Source organism: Homo sapiens, chromosome 6 (genome assembly GCF_000001405.40).
Source record: "Homo sapiens chromosome 6, GRCh38.p14 Primary Assembly".
Classification (NCBI taxonomy): Eukaryota; Metazoa; Chordata; class Mammalia; order Primates; family Hominidae; genus Homo; species Homo sapiens.
The window spans coordinates 83,695,633-83,709,438 of NC_000006.12; the positions used below are offsets into that span (position 1 = coordinate 83,695,633).

The following is a 13,806-nucleotide window of genomic DNA, read 5'->3' on the forward strand; positions in this document are numbered from 1 at the left end:
AAATATTTATACCCATTTACACTTGCAGCAATTGAGTGCTCGCTTCATACTATTTTTCCACCTGAGAAAGTAATGCTGAGCTGAACTGAAAAAACACTTGTTTCTTAATTCACAGCACTATCCTACGAAATGATTAGTAAAATCTACAATAGGGGCCAAAGTCAAATTTCTATTCCATTAAGATATATATAGAATAGACCACTGGCACAGTTATGTCACCAAGGAACACAGTCCTTTACAAAATGCAATAAAATATAACTAAAAATTAAGCAACTCCTTTGGAACAATAATGAGAATTATTGTGGGGAGGGGGGTGGGAAAGAACCACAAAGCAGTGAGGAGATGCATATGTTAAACAGTTGGTCACAGCCCACTCATTAGCACAGTCTCCAATCAGCCTCCTATGGAAACTTCCATGGGTACAGTCATGCTCACTCAAGGGTAGCCAAAACCAGAATGTTACATGTTAAAATACATAATGAAGAGGCCAGAAAAACATGAACACACTGCAACCTAGATGTTTTAGGGAGAAAAAAACAACAAAACTACATGAAGCCATTGTCTAACTGAATTATTTAGCTAGAAGTTGGAAGAGCTGTAGGCTCTACACTTTGACACTAACCAGGTGCATAGCGATATTACAGTGAAATCCACTGGTTTAGATGTAACAATCAGAACTAGGTGAACAAGGCAATTACATATTAGGGCACCTATTCAAGATAGGTAGATAAGAATCATTCAGTATTAACACATACAGAAAGTATAATTTTGCCACTTTGGGACTCAGCTCACTCATCTATAAAAATGAAAAGGCTGATCAACTTCTAAGATTCTCCTAAGCCTAAAAAGCCCTGCAGATCTCAGGCCATCTACAACCTTGGTGTTATTTCTTAACATTCTCTGTCTTCCTAAATTCATTCGTCCAGCAACCTTCAACTTTTTCATACTCCTAAAATGTGCCTTGCTCTCTGTGAGCCTCTTCCTACACAGCATTCTGCAGCAGTTCTTGTTCACACCTCACCTACTTTAAGTACCCTTCATTCTTTAAGTCTGGGCTTAAACATCTCTTCCTCTGCAAAGTGCCTCCGCTGTAGTCTTCACCTTCCTTATTAAAACTGAATTCTTTTTGAATCACCTGTAATTATTTCTTTAATTTTCTGTCTCCCCTACTAAGTCACAAGCTCTCTGATGCCAAAGGCCATGCATATCTTGTTCACCATGGTATCCCTGTTTCCTGGAACAATTCTTGGCATTTGGAAGTTATCCAAATATTTGTTAAATGAATAATAATGGGATTGTGCTAAGTAAGCTAGTGAAAGACTCAGTACTGAAAGCAATTTCTAATTTTTCCAAGTAGGTCATTAAAAATAAAATTAAATATGTTGTTATTTATTGCTTTCTTTACAAAGGCAAAAGAACCCTAAGTTTTAGGTTAATCTTGCCCCCTTTCCTTACTGCTTGTCGAAAGCCCCCAAGTTGTTAATGGAAATTTTATCACGTTAATTAATAGTATCACCAATAACTTAGTGAATACTATCATTTCAGTGAATATTGAAAGTGTGTAGTCACTTTTGAAATTGTTTTTCTTTTGTAATTATCTTAACCAGGTATAATATATGTAGTTATAAATTATAAAATGAATATTGAAAAACAATGCTGCCCAACTGTATCCAACTCTAAAGAAAATAGCTGCACACACACACACACACACACACACACACACACACACACACAATGCCGGCAAAGGATTTTCTCTAATACTAATACTTAACCATCTAATATCTAACAGTTAATGGTATGTACTGAGAGAAGTCCACATATGCTTTAAATTCACAACCCAAAAATTATGGATATAATTGTTAAAATCTAACATTTTTTTCAAATTTACCAATTTTCTCATTGTTTTAACTTTTAATATCAATTTTCTGATTTTCCCCAGATTAAATCGTTGTCAGATCATGGTCATGCAAGTGTTGAGAGGATGTCAGGAAATACACATTAATTATATACATTAAGTAATTTAATGTTTATTTGTTTGTATTCCTCCAATATTACACTTCTATTGCTTTTATAGTCTTTTGAGAGAAAGAATTGAGTTTAACTCCTTGCTCTTCCGAAGTTTATTGGGTAAAAGTAAAATTTTTAAGTAGAAAGTTTATGAGAAAACAAAGGTATAAAATTAGGGAAATATGAAGCATAATAAAAATCATTCAATAAATATTTACCAAAACCTGCTATCATGCTATGTTTGGCGTGAGGAATAAGACAGTCTCAAAGAAACTACAGACTAGAGGAAGAAAACAACCACTGAAGAGAATCCCACTATAGCTCTGGGAGGGATATGAAAGAAACAAATGCACAGGGGGCCATGTAGGCACTGAAAAGAAAGCCTAAAACTAGAGTTTTAGAAATTAGATTTTAAAAATATATTAAAACTTAAAAACAGCACATGCAAAGGCCCAAAAGTAATGCAGAATATAGTGAATCGAATGTTTCAAAGTAGTTCAGCAATGAACTGTGGGGTATGTGTGTGTGTGTAGGCAAAAACAAAGAATAGGAAAATAGGCTGGTTCCACATCTAGCATACAGGTGGACTATCAAGGGAAAAACACCTGATAACCTGGATAAATATTACAGGCATCCTTCCACTCATTTAGATGAACTCACAAGAAAATAAAAGCAATCTCCAAGGCCAAAAAAAAAAAAAAAAGAAAGAAATTGCAGAAAACCACATGGTAAAGTAATACTGAAGAGGAGACTGCCCTGAAGTCATGTGTTAATCTAAGTGGCTTAGAGTCTTAGATTCTAGCAGCCCTGTGGGGAACAGGGGACAAGGCCTTTGAGACTAAGCAAGGTGACTAGTTGGAACTAAGACCACCATATAAAGCTAGGATCCTCAAAGGGTTACTCCCTTAGTAAAATTAAGAGAAAAACAAAAACAAAAAAGAATACCTCTCAGCAAAAGGAGACGAGGGAAAATGTGTTCTGCTCTTCCTAGGCTCTGGGTAGATAAGGGAAAAAAATATCTGGGGCATTTGTAAGCATAGCTTTCCCCCGATGAACTCTGTGATTCAAATTTATACTACAGATCCACACTCCAATATCTAAGACCCTTAGGGCAATATATGTTTCAGAGTTCATGAGTTTGCAGATTCTACAAAGGTATTATGGTACAGACATCATATATTAAGTAACACCTCACTATAATCTGAACAGCATACCATAATATGACAATATTTTTATAGCTTAACATATGACTCATCATGATAGGCAGTATATAAAGACTATATATGGTCAACTTTTCCTATGAAATGATTTACAAAAATAATTTTGGTTTTCTGAGCATTTTTAATTTTCAAATTACAGATAAGGATTATGGATCTGGACCTGCACTGGATGGGAAGCTCCAAGGGCATAATTCAACTTCAGGTGCTCTCAGAATGGCAGCACCTGTGGAACCTCTCTGAAGCAAAATCTTTCTAGGTGACCCCAGGCTCCCTAGGATTCCCACAAATGAAGTACTAGCCAACATGACCTCAGAGTCTAAAATTACAAAACACATGAGGAATCATGATTGAACATCAGGCAAAAACAATAGAAACAGAACTTCATGTGATAGATCTATGAAATATAGAATATAAAATTAGTTTTGTTTAAAATGGTAAAGAAATAAAAGAGGAACTCAAAAATGTTAGCAAGAAACATACATTATCCAGAAAATGGGCAAATTTGAAAAAATTCAAAAACAAAAAATATAAATAAATAAAGTAAAAAACCAAGAATGCATAAAAGCAGACAAGACACAGCTAAACAGAGAATTAATGAACTAGAAGGTATCTGAAAAACAAATCATGCTGAACAGAAAAGAAAGCATTAGAAAATACAAAAGGTATATTTAGATTTATACGGATGTAATAAAGTCTAACATATTTCTAATCATGTTTGAAGGACATAAAAAGAAAGAGAATGAGAATAAGCAATAATCAATGATAACTGAAAAGCTGAGAATTTTCCAGACTTGATGCGAGACATACATTCTCAGATTTAAAAAACCCAACAAATTCCAAATAGAATAAACAAAAAACAATGCCACATCTAGACACACATCCACTAAAGAAGGACAAGACAAACAGAAGATTTGAATGCAGCCCCCGTCAAACAAAGGAATTACCTAAAGACAGGTAGACAGATAAATTCTCCTAAAAGCAATAATAGAAGGCAGATGACTGAAATGTTATCAAAGTGAAAATAACTGTCATTCTAGAATCTTATATACAGATACACTGTCCTCAAAATATAGTTCAAGAAAAGGATATAGTTCAAGAAAATCTTATATATGATGAAGGAATGGTGAGCAAAGAAGTCAGTTACAAGGTAGGCACATCTAAGTAAACACTGCCTTCATCAAATAATAATGTACAGCTTTAGGGGTTAAAACTACAGTGGAATTAAAAACACTGAATAATAACAGCACGTAAGACAGAAGTAGGTGATTGAAGTTAAAAGTTCCTAAATTTCTTTTCGTGGGAAGAAAAAAGAGATATTGATCAACTTCAGACTTTACATATGCATATTAAAATTTTAAGACTAATCACTAAAAGAACAGAAATAGTATATATGCCTTCCAAACTACAGAAAGAGAAAGTTGGAATTAAAGGAAAAACTGATACAATTAAAAGGAGGGGGCAAAAAGAAGCATGGAGAAGAAGGGCCAAATCACTGGCAATACATGTGGAATTGTTATACTGGTGGTAGCAGCAATAATAGTACTAGTAATGTTTATTATTAGTAGTGGTATTAATAACTGATTGTTATTGCATATTTGTGTGTCAAGTTCTGAGCTGGGTATTTTACATGCATTATCTTATGCATTACTCACTAAAAGTGAAGTAGGTACTATAATTAATCTTCATTTTACAGATGAGGCTTATTACTGATCTAAATCAAGCAGAAGACAACTAAAGAAAGAGATTTCAGATAGTTTTTTGTTTTGTTTTGCTTTGTTTTAGACAGGGTCTTGCTCTGTCACTCAGGCTGGAGTACAATGGCATGATCATGGCTCATTGCAGGCTTGACATCCTCTGCAGCCTTCCAAGTAGCTGGGACCATGGGTACACATGATCATGCCTAATTTATTTTATTTTTTATAGAGATGGAGTCTCCCTATGTTGCCCAGGCTGGTCTCAAACTCCTGGGCTAAACTGATCCTCCTGCCTTGGCCTCCCAGAGTGTTGGTATTACAGGCAAGAGCCACTGCATCCAGCTCAGAGGGTGTTTAAATAATTATCACTCACTGGATTTGAGGGATGAGGGATAACTCTCAAGTTAGTGACTTGGGCAATTGAGTAGGCAATGCCTGGCATCCGATAGCAATTCTAAGATTTCATGCATGAATTATGCCATTCAAAGACATAGAATATTTAAAGAGGGGTACAGTTGTGTCTGTTTTCTTTGAAATGGTGAGTAAAACACTGTTTCAAGCAGCTTGATTGTGGGAAAAAAGAAAAAGCAAAGAATGACAGGTTGGTTGTTGAAAAGCTATTATCAAGATAATAGAGGCCAAAGAGACATGTGTGTGGTTTGTTTGTTTTAAATGGAGATACTTGAAAATACTTATAAGAGAGACAGAAGATGTTAAAGATAGAGATGACAGAGAGAATAACTCATGTAGAAAGGACAGTTGTAATTTAAAATAAAAAATGCTAAGCCTAGGAGAAAAATCAAATGGTGAGACCCAAAAGCAAAACTACACCAAGCAGGGAGAGACCTAGCTTCTCTCTCTCCTGAGTAGCCAGGAATGACACATCAAAAATTCTTTTTTTTTTTTTTTGAGACAAAGTCTCACTCTTGTCCCCCAAGGCTGGAGTACAATGGCGCGATCTCGGCTCACTGCAACCTCCGCCTCTCGGGTTCAAGCAATTCTCCTGCCTCAGCCTCCTGAGTAGCTGGGATTACAGGTGCCTGCCACCACACCTGGCTAACTTTTTTGTATTTTTAGTAGAGACGGGGTTCATCATGTTGGCCAGGCTGGTCTTGAACTCCTGACCTCAGGTGATCTGACCGCCTTGGACTCCCAAAGTGCTGGGATTACAGGCGTGAGCCACAGCGCCTGGTGAAAATTCTTGAGAAAATGCTAGATCCTCCTTAAAAATGAATAATAAAGAAGGCTTCTGTCTGTACACAAGGAAGAGGAGGATCCTCACACATCTGGGACAAATGAAGAGATGGCAGAAAAACAGCTAGAAAGACTGTGGGCTTCAGGGTACAACTGTCTCTGGTTTGTGCTTTCACCCAATTGTTTCAAGGAAGAGTCGTAATTTCTTACAAATCATTGTGCAATTGACACAGGGTATACCATTCAACCAATCTTCCCTTGGTGAGAAAGAAAAAAATAGGGTAACTCCCACATTACATAAATGCCTAAGAAAAAACACAGCCAACATTCCCCTTCATAAATAAACAATACATTTTTCTAAAAAGAGAAAACATTATAAAAGAAATGAAACTAAGGATAAATGTTTTTAATGGCAAGGAATTTGATTTTTCAAATTATTTAAATGCACTATGATTATGTTTGAAGGTTCTCTTAGTAGATGCTGGCTCAGGAGTTGACTCACTTAAAATACAACTCTGTAAGGAAAGCACCCTCGGCCCCTAGGGAATAGGGTTATATGTCACTTCTGACCTTCTTTACCAAGATAAGCTCCAAAGAACACCCTATCCCAGCATCAGTCAATTGAAGGGAGGAGGTAAGGTATTAAAGGATATTTATTTATGAAAAGCTAAAAGAGAGGTCCATGGCAACTAAGTACACAGATTAAATTACAAATAAATCTTTAACCACCATTTATTAAACATTACAACTAATGTGGCAATATATCAAGAAATTTAGATTTTAATTTAAAATGCTACAAGCTAATATTGCAATTAGGATATGAATTTGCCTACTATCTATATAATGTTTAATATTTTTCCATATCAACATTTTAAATCACTAAAACAACTTTTTAAAAATCAAATTGAGTTATCAATTTTATTCTAAGAAAGTATCTGCTAACCACACCAACTGCAAAAACTGAAAAAAAAAAAATCTAAAGTGACCCAAATATATTTAACATTATACCATTAAAAAAAGATTCTTTTGAAAATGAGAAAGTAAAAAGATCTGGAAAAAAAACCCCTATTGTTCCACTAGCTGCTATAAATTCTGTTTAATTATTTTTGTGTCATTTTTAAAGCATGCTCCCTCCTATTACCTAAGACTGTTTGTCACTCTGCTTCCCCTGCTCCTGCCAACCCTGATCACATGGTCTCTTCTCTCCCCTCCTAGGACACTGAGCATCTTCGAGAATGTCACAGAATCACACACGTTGGGCCCATTACACATGTATGGTATGAATTATAATCATATTAAATGCTTTTCAGAAGTGCATCTCCCCCATCTCTTCACCCTTGGGCTGGGTCTTCTGGTAAAATCAAGAGGAAGGAACAGATTATGTTCTGGTACAGTAAAGTGAGAGGGTGTGTTTTTTTTTTTTTTTTAAACTAATAGTTAAATGAAAACAAAAATCAGATTAAAATATATTTACAGCAAGTTAGTACACTTCTCAAATTCAAAGTTACTCTAGTGTTTAGTAATCTTTTACACATTGTTCTACTTAATTTTATTCAGTAAACTTTGCTTACTTTTTGGATCTTTCAGCACTTACTGAAAGCCCTACTAAATTATCACAAATATAAATATATGGTGTCTACTGAATTAGTGTGCTAACAGAACTTCTATGAATTAAAATATATTTCATATTTACTAAGCACATTTATGCAAAGAAAACTCACTTTTAGGTTTAAATTTTCGTTCTATTTTTACTCACAAAATTTCTTACTTTTTTTGCAGATACTTTATGAATAAAATTAAAGCAGCAGGAATTTGGGTTGATGTGCCAGTATTTGTCTTGAATCAAAACTCAGTACATGTCTCCTACTACCTTTACCAGATAGTCTTATAAGAAACATAATCTTTTTCTTTTTCATAATTTGGGAGGAACGGAATCATTAGTAAAATTCTAGTATCTCTCAAACATCAGATTCAGAACTTGAAGCACTTGCTTTTCATGTGGGATAAGCTCATTACTAAATAGCTTCAAGTGTTTAATACGGAAAAAATAGGATTACTGAAAACCAAATTGGCTTTTCATAAGGTTTGTTTTGATGTTAACAGTAATGTCTAGGTTTGAATTCTGATTATCATAAATAGGATACTTTAACAATGTAGCATATATAGAAATCACTCATAAGCACTATTAACTGAAATGAATCACATGGCAGGGCTGCAAAACTTTCCAATTTACACCTGCAGATGTTACTTTGGACCAACTCTATTTTATTGTTCAAGCTTGACACAATACTGGGTAGGTACTGGGTGCCTATTACTACCTGATCTTTTTACTTTATTATTTGACTTGGGCTATCCCTTAGGGCATCACATACAAAATAGAAAAAACAGACAACACTGAAGTGTCAAACAGTTGTAACTAAAAAGGTAAATACTCATTGAGTCCTGGATGTTTTATATGCTAGCAAATAGGTACAAAAAGTTACAAGGGAAAGGAGGCGAGGATGTACAGGTGGACCCAGAAAAGTTAATGTCAAACCAATATTGGTTAGGTATTTAATTTTCACATACAAAGGGCAACATCACTATAGTCGAGTATGGAAAGAAAGTTTTACATAATCCAAAAGTGCCATAAAATATATAATCCTTACTTAGATTATTAGGTGCTGTCACTGAAAAAAGAAAAAAAATCTGGGAATAAATGTATATAGTTTCTTCATCTCGACCTTTTCACCAGATATAATTCTGCCCTCAGATGTTAACAAATCATTTCTTCAAGTGTATAAATCATATATCTTTAAGAATCATTTTATAAGTCACCATGACTAACAATAATAATTTTCTTGGCCTATCAACCTAAAGAGAAAAGAATTTATCATTTAAACCAGTACCTTAATATTAAATACATATTTCATAAGGATTTTGAGCCCAATTAATCCAATACCTTTAAAAAAAAATGACAGGACCATAAATCTGTTTTTATAATCTTCCAATCTAAACTCCAAACTAAAAAGTTATATACAAATCAAACTAGTAATAAATTGAAATTGTTTTTGTTTCAAACCCCCAAACTCTATATTTTGTGCTCTTTTTCTCCCAACCAGTATTTAATATTTTCAAAACTAAAACACCAACTACTTGAGAATCTTCAATGCCTATAAAGAAACTTAATTATGTGTTTGCATGTTTTAATAACAATTCACTTTTATAACTGGTGTTTACTGAAAACCTGTGAATAAATTACTGAGGTAGTTTACTGTTTCTTTAAAGGAACTTCACAAAGAATTCTGAGCAAAGATGTCCTCTTAATAATGCATATAACATATACATTCAGGTTTTCCATATCATCTTCTCTTAGAATAGTACATATTAGTAATGTGATAACTATGTCTCCAAATTCCATCCAAAAGTTGGTTTTAAGTAGAAGATGTTTTATTTTATGACTTATTAGAAAAGTAAAACATTAAAAAGAAAAACCACTAACCAATACTCCTCAGTGCTTGGTTTTTGGTCATTTTTTTATGCAACAGAATTAAAATATTTTCATTCAATTTTTTCATGATAGAATTAAAATTTTTTCATGCATATTATAAAGACTGCAATATGTACGCGGATTTTGATGCTCAATTCCACAGAAAGCTATGCAAGCAAGGTGGGTGTTTTAGAGATTAGACCATTTAGGTTAATATGGTTCATTTTCTCTCCTCTCTCAATAAAGTATATTACTAATCTACAGATGGCAGTTAAGTGTACTGGTTAAAAGCTATGAAAGTTTGGACAGGGGAAGTAGCAGCTCACTCCTGTAATCCCAGCACTTTGGGAGGCCAAGGTGGGCAGATAACCTGAGGGAAGGAGTTCAAGACCAGCCTGGCCAACATGAAGAAACCCCATCTCTACTAAAAAAAATACACAAAAATGAGCCAGGCGTGGTGGTGCATTCCTGTAAGTCCCAGCTACTCAGGAGGCTGAGGCAGGAGAATCACTCGAACCTGGGAGGCTGCAGTGGGCCGACAATGCACCACTGCACTCCAGCCTGGGTGACAGAGTGAGACTCCATCTCACAAAGAGAAAAAAAAAAAGCCATGAAAGTTAATTACCCTCCCTGAACCCATTAAGTGATGAAAGATTAATAATATAAAGTTCAGTTCGTGCTATATAGTAACTGCTCAATAAATGTTCAGCTCTTATGACCATTCATATTAATAATTCAACACCAGTTCCTATTTCAGCTGCTTTCTTTTATAACATGGAATCTTCCCCCTATTTTCCACATCTTAGAAATCATATTGGAAAACCTCCTACCTTCAAATTTTCAAAAGACTTTTCCACTAAAATACTAATGTGACTAAATATTTAGATCTGGAGAAGTCAGCCTTTATCTGAATGATGTTTTAATGAAATGTTCAAACCTGTGAATGTTCTCTGAAATATATCAGTATACTGATTTATCATTTTAATTATAGATCAGCATGTAGCAAATTCATAACCTATACCTTTCTTATTATGAGGATTTTCTAGACTGATATATACCTTTAAGACATGAATCATTCTTCCAGAGTTGGGGAAACTGATGGGAAAATGGCTAAATGATTCAGCATGCTGCAGCAAAGTGATCTGGTCACAAATTTACAATTTCTACTTCTCTTAGGTGCCCTGGCCCTGGTGGCCTCTTTCATCCTGTACTGCATATATAACATATAATGCTGTAATCAATAAATTTAGTTAAACATTCCCTTGGGAAAGGCATAATGGTACTTTCCCCTCCGATGAGCTTCTAGAAACAAAATTATTCAATTCTATGAGACAACAGGTTCACAAGGCTGGACAACTCTTACAATGTCCAGTTGTAAGCTTCATCAAGCTTCGCTTATGCAGATAATAGGGCTAGAGTGAATTCTGACACTGGTGCCATTTTCTTAGCTGCACAAAGGAAATAGCAGGAAAAAGACCCAAGACCAAAAAAACCCAGAAGATGGGCAAAGGAAGCCAGCTGAGGAAATGGCTGTGGCCATACCTGTGTCTCTCATGCCAACATTCACCTTTACCAAAAACATCACAATAGAACAGAAGATCCTAAGCAGGTCAAGAGAACTAAATAGCAACTGCTGAACATACACTCATATAGCCTGACTTATGAGAAACCTCACCACCCAAAGCAGGTGAAAGCCTTTTTCTTTTCTAAGTGCCTCTGTTTATCCTTCGGTGACAAAAGATTTACTGTTAATTAAGGTATTTCAGAAATATATAGATTCCAGAGTAGAATAAAGCCTTTTCCATCAAATAACCAGTTACAAAAATAATATTAAGAATTAAACGGTTTCATCTAAAATTGCACCATCTCAGATGCTGGGGAAGTACATCCATTTTGTGACCATAGCATAGTCATCTCACCCAGCATTTTCTGAGAATGGGACAAAGTGTGCCAGGATGTGTAAAATGAAATTGCCATAGCTATGAAGTCCAATTTCCTCATTCAGTACCTTGAATTTATTTCAGTTTGGTATGGTAACATACCTCACACACACACACACACACCCATACTCACAAAAACAATCCTCAGGAGCAACACTTAAAAAGATTATACTACCTTAGAACTATCTGAAATGTATTTAGGAAAGAACTAGGGTGACAAGTTTGACCTTCCATAAATTCATCTTTTTTTTTTTTGACTGTGCAACCTCTAATTTCCTCTAATTTGGAGAAGGGAGGGTGGGTGGAGAAAGAAAAAAAGGTGAAAAACATCTAATTCAGTGTGTACAATCTCTCTCTTGTGTGTGTGTATATACATATGCGTGTGTGTGTGTGTGTGTGTGTGTATTTTTCCCCCTCCACCAAGACCTTGGAGGTCAATAAGAGGAAAAAATGGCTCACAAGACAAGGTTTCATGGCTAACCCAAGGGAACACCTTCACAGCTGAAGAATTTCAGCTCAGGGGCAACCTGGCTGGGAGTATCAGAGGCCACAGCATTATGGACCAAGAGCGCAGGCCGCACCACCAGCATCCCAGGCGCCTCTGCCGTGCGCATGTCCCTCTTATATAAAGAGATGCTTACAGTCCAGGTGCTTTTTCTTGGGGCCCATTACTTCATGAGTAGTGGCTTTGCAGACCGCTCTTGCTACAGCAGAGCCTGTAACGCTGTACTGAGCGGCGGCGATCCGATCCGTGAGCGTTTGGCCCGACATCTTCTGTGGTCGCGTCTACCGCCTCCTCTTCTGCAGGAAACAAGGGGAGACGGTCCGGCTTTAATCCGCAGACCCTACCCTCCAAGCACCCAGGCCTTGCCTCCTCCAGCCGCGCGGCGGCTCTCTCCTCCTCCATCCCCACCCTGGCACCACCTCTCGGAGCCAGCAACGCGCCAAGCCCCGCTCCTGCGATGCGGTCCAGGGAGTCTTGGCCGTGAGTAGGGCCGTCACGGAACCCCAGCGTGGGCTCCAGTCGCAGCATCGTGACACCGTCCCCATTCTCCCCCGGCCCCCACATAGGGCCAGACTCACCCCCTGGGGACCCCCCTGTCAATCAGCACTTTCCCCGCAACCTGACCCGCGGGTGCTGGACTAGCCACAACGTGCGTTGGGGTTATTCCCTGGGCGCCGCACCCACCGGTGCCCATCTCCCACCTCAGCAGACTTTCCTCCTAGCAGCCCGCAGGCTTCGGGGAATGCATCGGATACCCAAGCCCTGGCTGCCTCCCTCCTCCTCCTCGCGCTGCTGCAGCAAAGGGCTCGTCCTCCCTCAGTCGCGAAGGAGATTATCCTAGCGTTGCGCCATGTTATGCCCTCGCCTCCCCTTCCTTCCTCGCCGCCGGCTCCAAAGCCTCGCCGAGGCCCATCGCCCGGGCCCCTTCCCCCCGGTTCCAAATCCCTGCCGCAGGGGCCGCCCGGGAGCTCTGCGGAGGCGCCGGAGTCTTGGGGCGCCTCACCCTTCCTGGCTTTGGAGAGGAGCCGGGCTGACAGCGAAGCCCAGTCCCCCGCCCGCCCTGGAGCGCTCCGCGGAGCTGTCACTCGGCCGCTGCCCTTCTCCGCACCCTGGGATTATCCTCTGCGGATCCCCGCGAGACCCTGGCGCGGGGAGGGGGCCGAGTACGGCCGCGGGTACTCACCCCGCCCCTGAGCGGCGCCGCCCGCCGCAGGATGAGCGGAGCCCGGGCCGCCGAGGGAAGCCGCGCCGGTGGATGTGTGCGACCGCGCGTAGCCCCGGTGCCCCCGGGCGCAAAGTCTCCAGCCCTGGCCGGGCCCCGCTCCTCAGCTCCGCGGTCCCGGCGCCCACCGCCCCTGGCCCCTGGCCCCAGAAGCCAGTACCCGCCCGCCGCCGCCTCTTCTGCCAGCGCCGCCGCGTCTCTCTAGCGCTCCGAGCTGCGTCCCCATCCCCGCCCCCACCTCAGCTGTGGCTCCTCCGACGAGTCAGGTGACGGCGGCGGACAAACCCGGACGAGCCCTCGGCGGAGCGCCTCGCGGCCCCCTCCCAGCTACTCACACACACCGCCCCCCGGGGCCGGGAGCTTAAAGGCGAGGGGGCGCCTCGCGCAAGCATCCCCGGCAAGCCGGCGGGGAGAAGAAGGAGGCGGGGAGGCCGACACCCACCCAGCCAGCGGCTCTCCGCTGGGCGCCGGGCCGCCCCTCCGCTGCTGGCGCCGCACCCGGCACGCACTGGGCTCGCGCACCACGCACACCTGCCCGCCGACTGCGGGGGGAGC

General features: G+C 39.5%; 1 protein-coding gene across 72 annotated transcripts in view, besides 3 other annotated features; it reads right to left on the reverse strand.

Annotated features, from left to right (window-relative positions):
• Nucleotides 1-13,761, reverse strand: part of SNAP91 (synaptosome associated protein 91) — a 156,509-nt gene extending 142,748 nt beyond the window's left edge. For 22 of the 72 annotated variants that reach the window (NR_164844.1, NR_164845.1, NM_001376723.1 and 19 more), the window contains exons 1-2: nt 13,213-13,469; nt 12,166-12,325 (exon numbers count right to left, since the gene is read on the reverse strand). Coding sequence is in view for 59 of the 72 variants with exons in the window: in NM_001376717.1 (NP_001363646.1) it covers nt 12,166-12,295 (130 nt within the window). In the remaining 13 variants the exon portion in view is untranslated. Of the gene's footprint in view, nt 1-7,256; nt 7,295-12,165; nt 12,326-12,607; nt 13,470-13,489 lie in introns of those variants that run through there. The other 50 variants (NR_164843.1, NM_001376739.1, NM_001376736.1 and 47 more) reach the window with 10 other exon arrangements.
• Nucleotides 12,438-12,732: a silencer, noted in NCBI's record as "tiled region #13924; HepG2 Repressive non-DNase unmatched - State 22:ReprW". NCBI's record gives its function as "represses a minimal TATA promoter and a strong SV40 promoter by Sharpr-MPRA in HepG2 cells {active_cell/tissue: HepG2}" and the evidence as "EXISTENCE:reporter gene assay evidence [ECO:0000049][PMID:27701403]".
• Nucleotides 13,142-13,351: a silencer, noted in NCBI's record as "silent region_17359". NCBI's record gives its function as "represses an Ori minimal core promoter by ATAC-STARR-seq in GM12878 lymphoblastoid cells {active_cell/tissue: GM12878}" and the evidence as "EXISTENCE:reporter gene assay evidence [ECO:0000049][PMID:35858748]".
• Nucleotides 13,682-13,741: a silencer, noted in NCBI's record as "silent region_17360". NCBI's record gives its function as "represses an Ori minimal core promoter by ATAC-STARR-seq in GM12878 lymphoblastoid cells {active_cell/tissue: GM12878}" and the evidence as "EXISTENCE:reporter gene assay evidence [ECO:0000049][PMID:35858748]".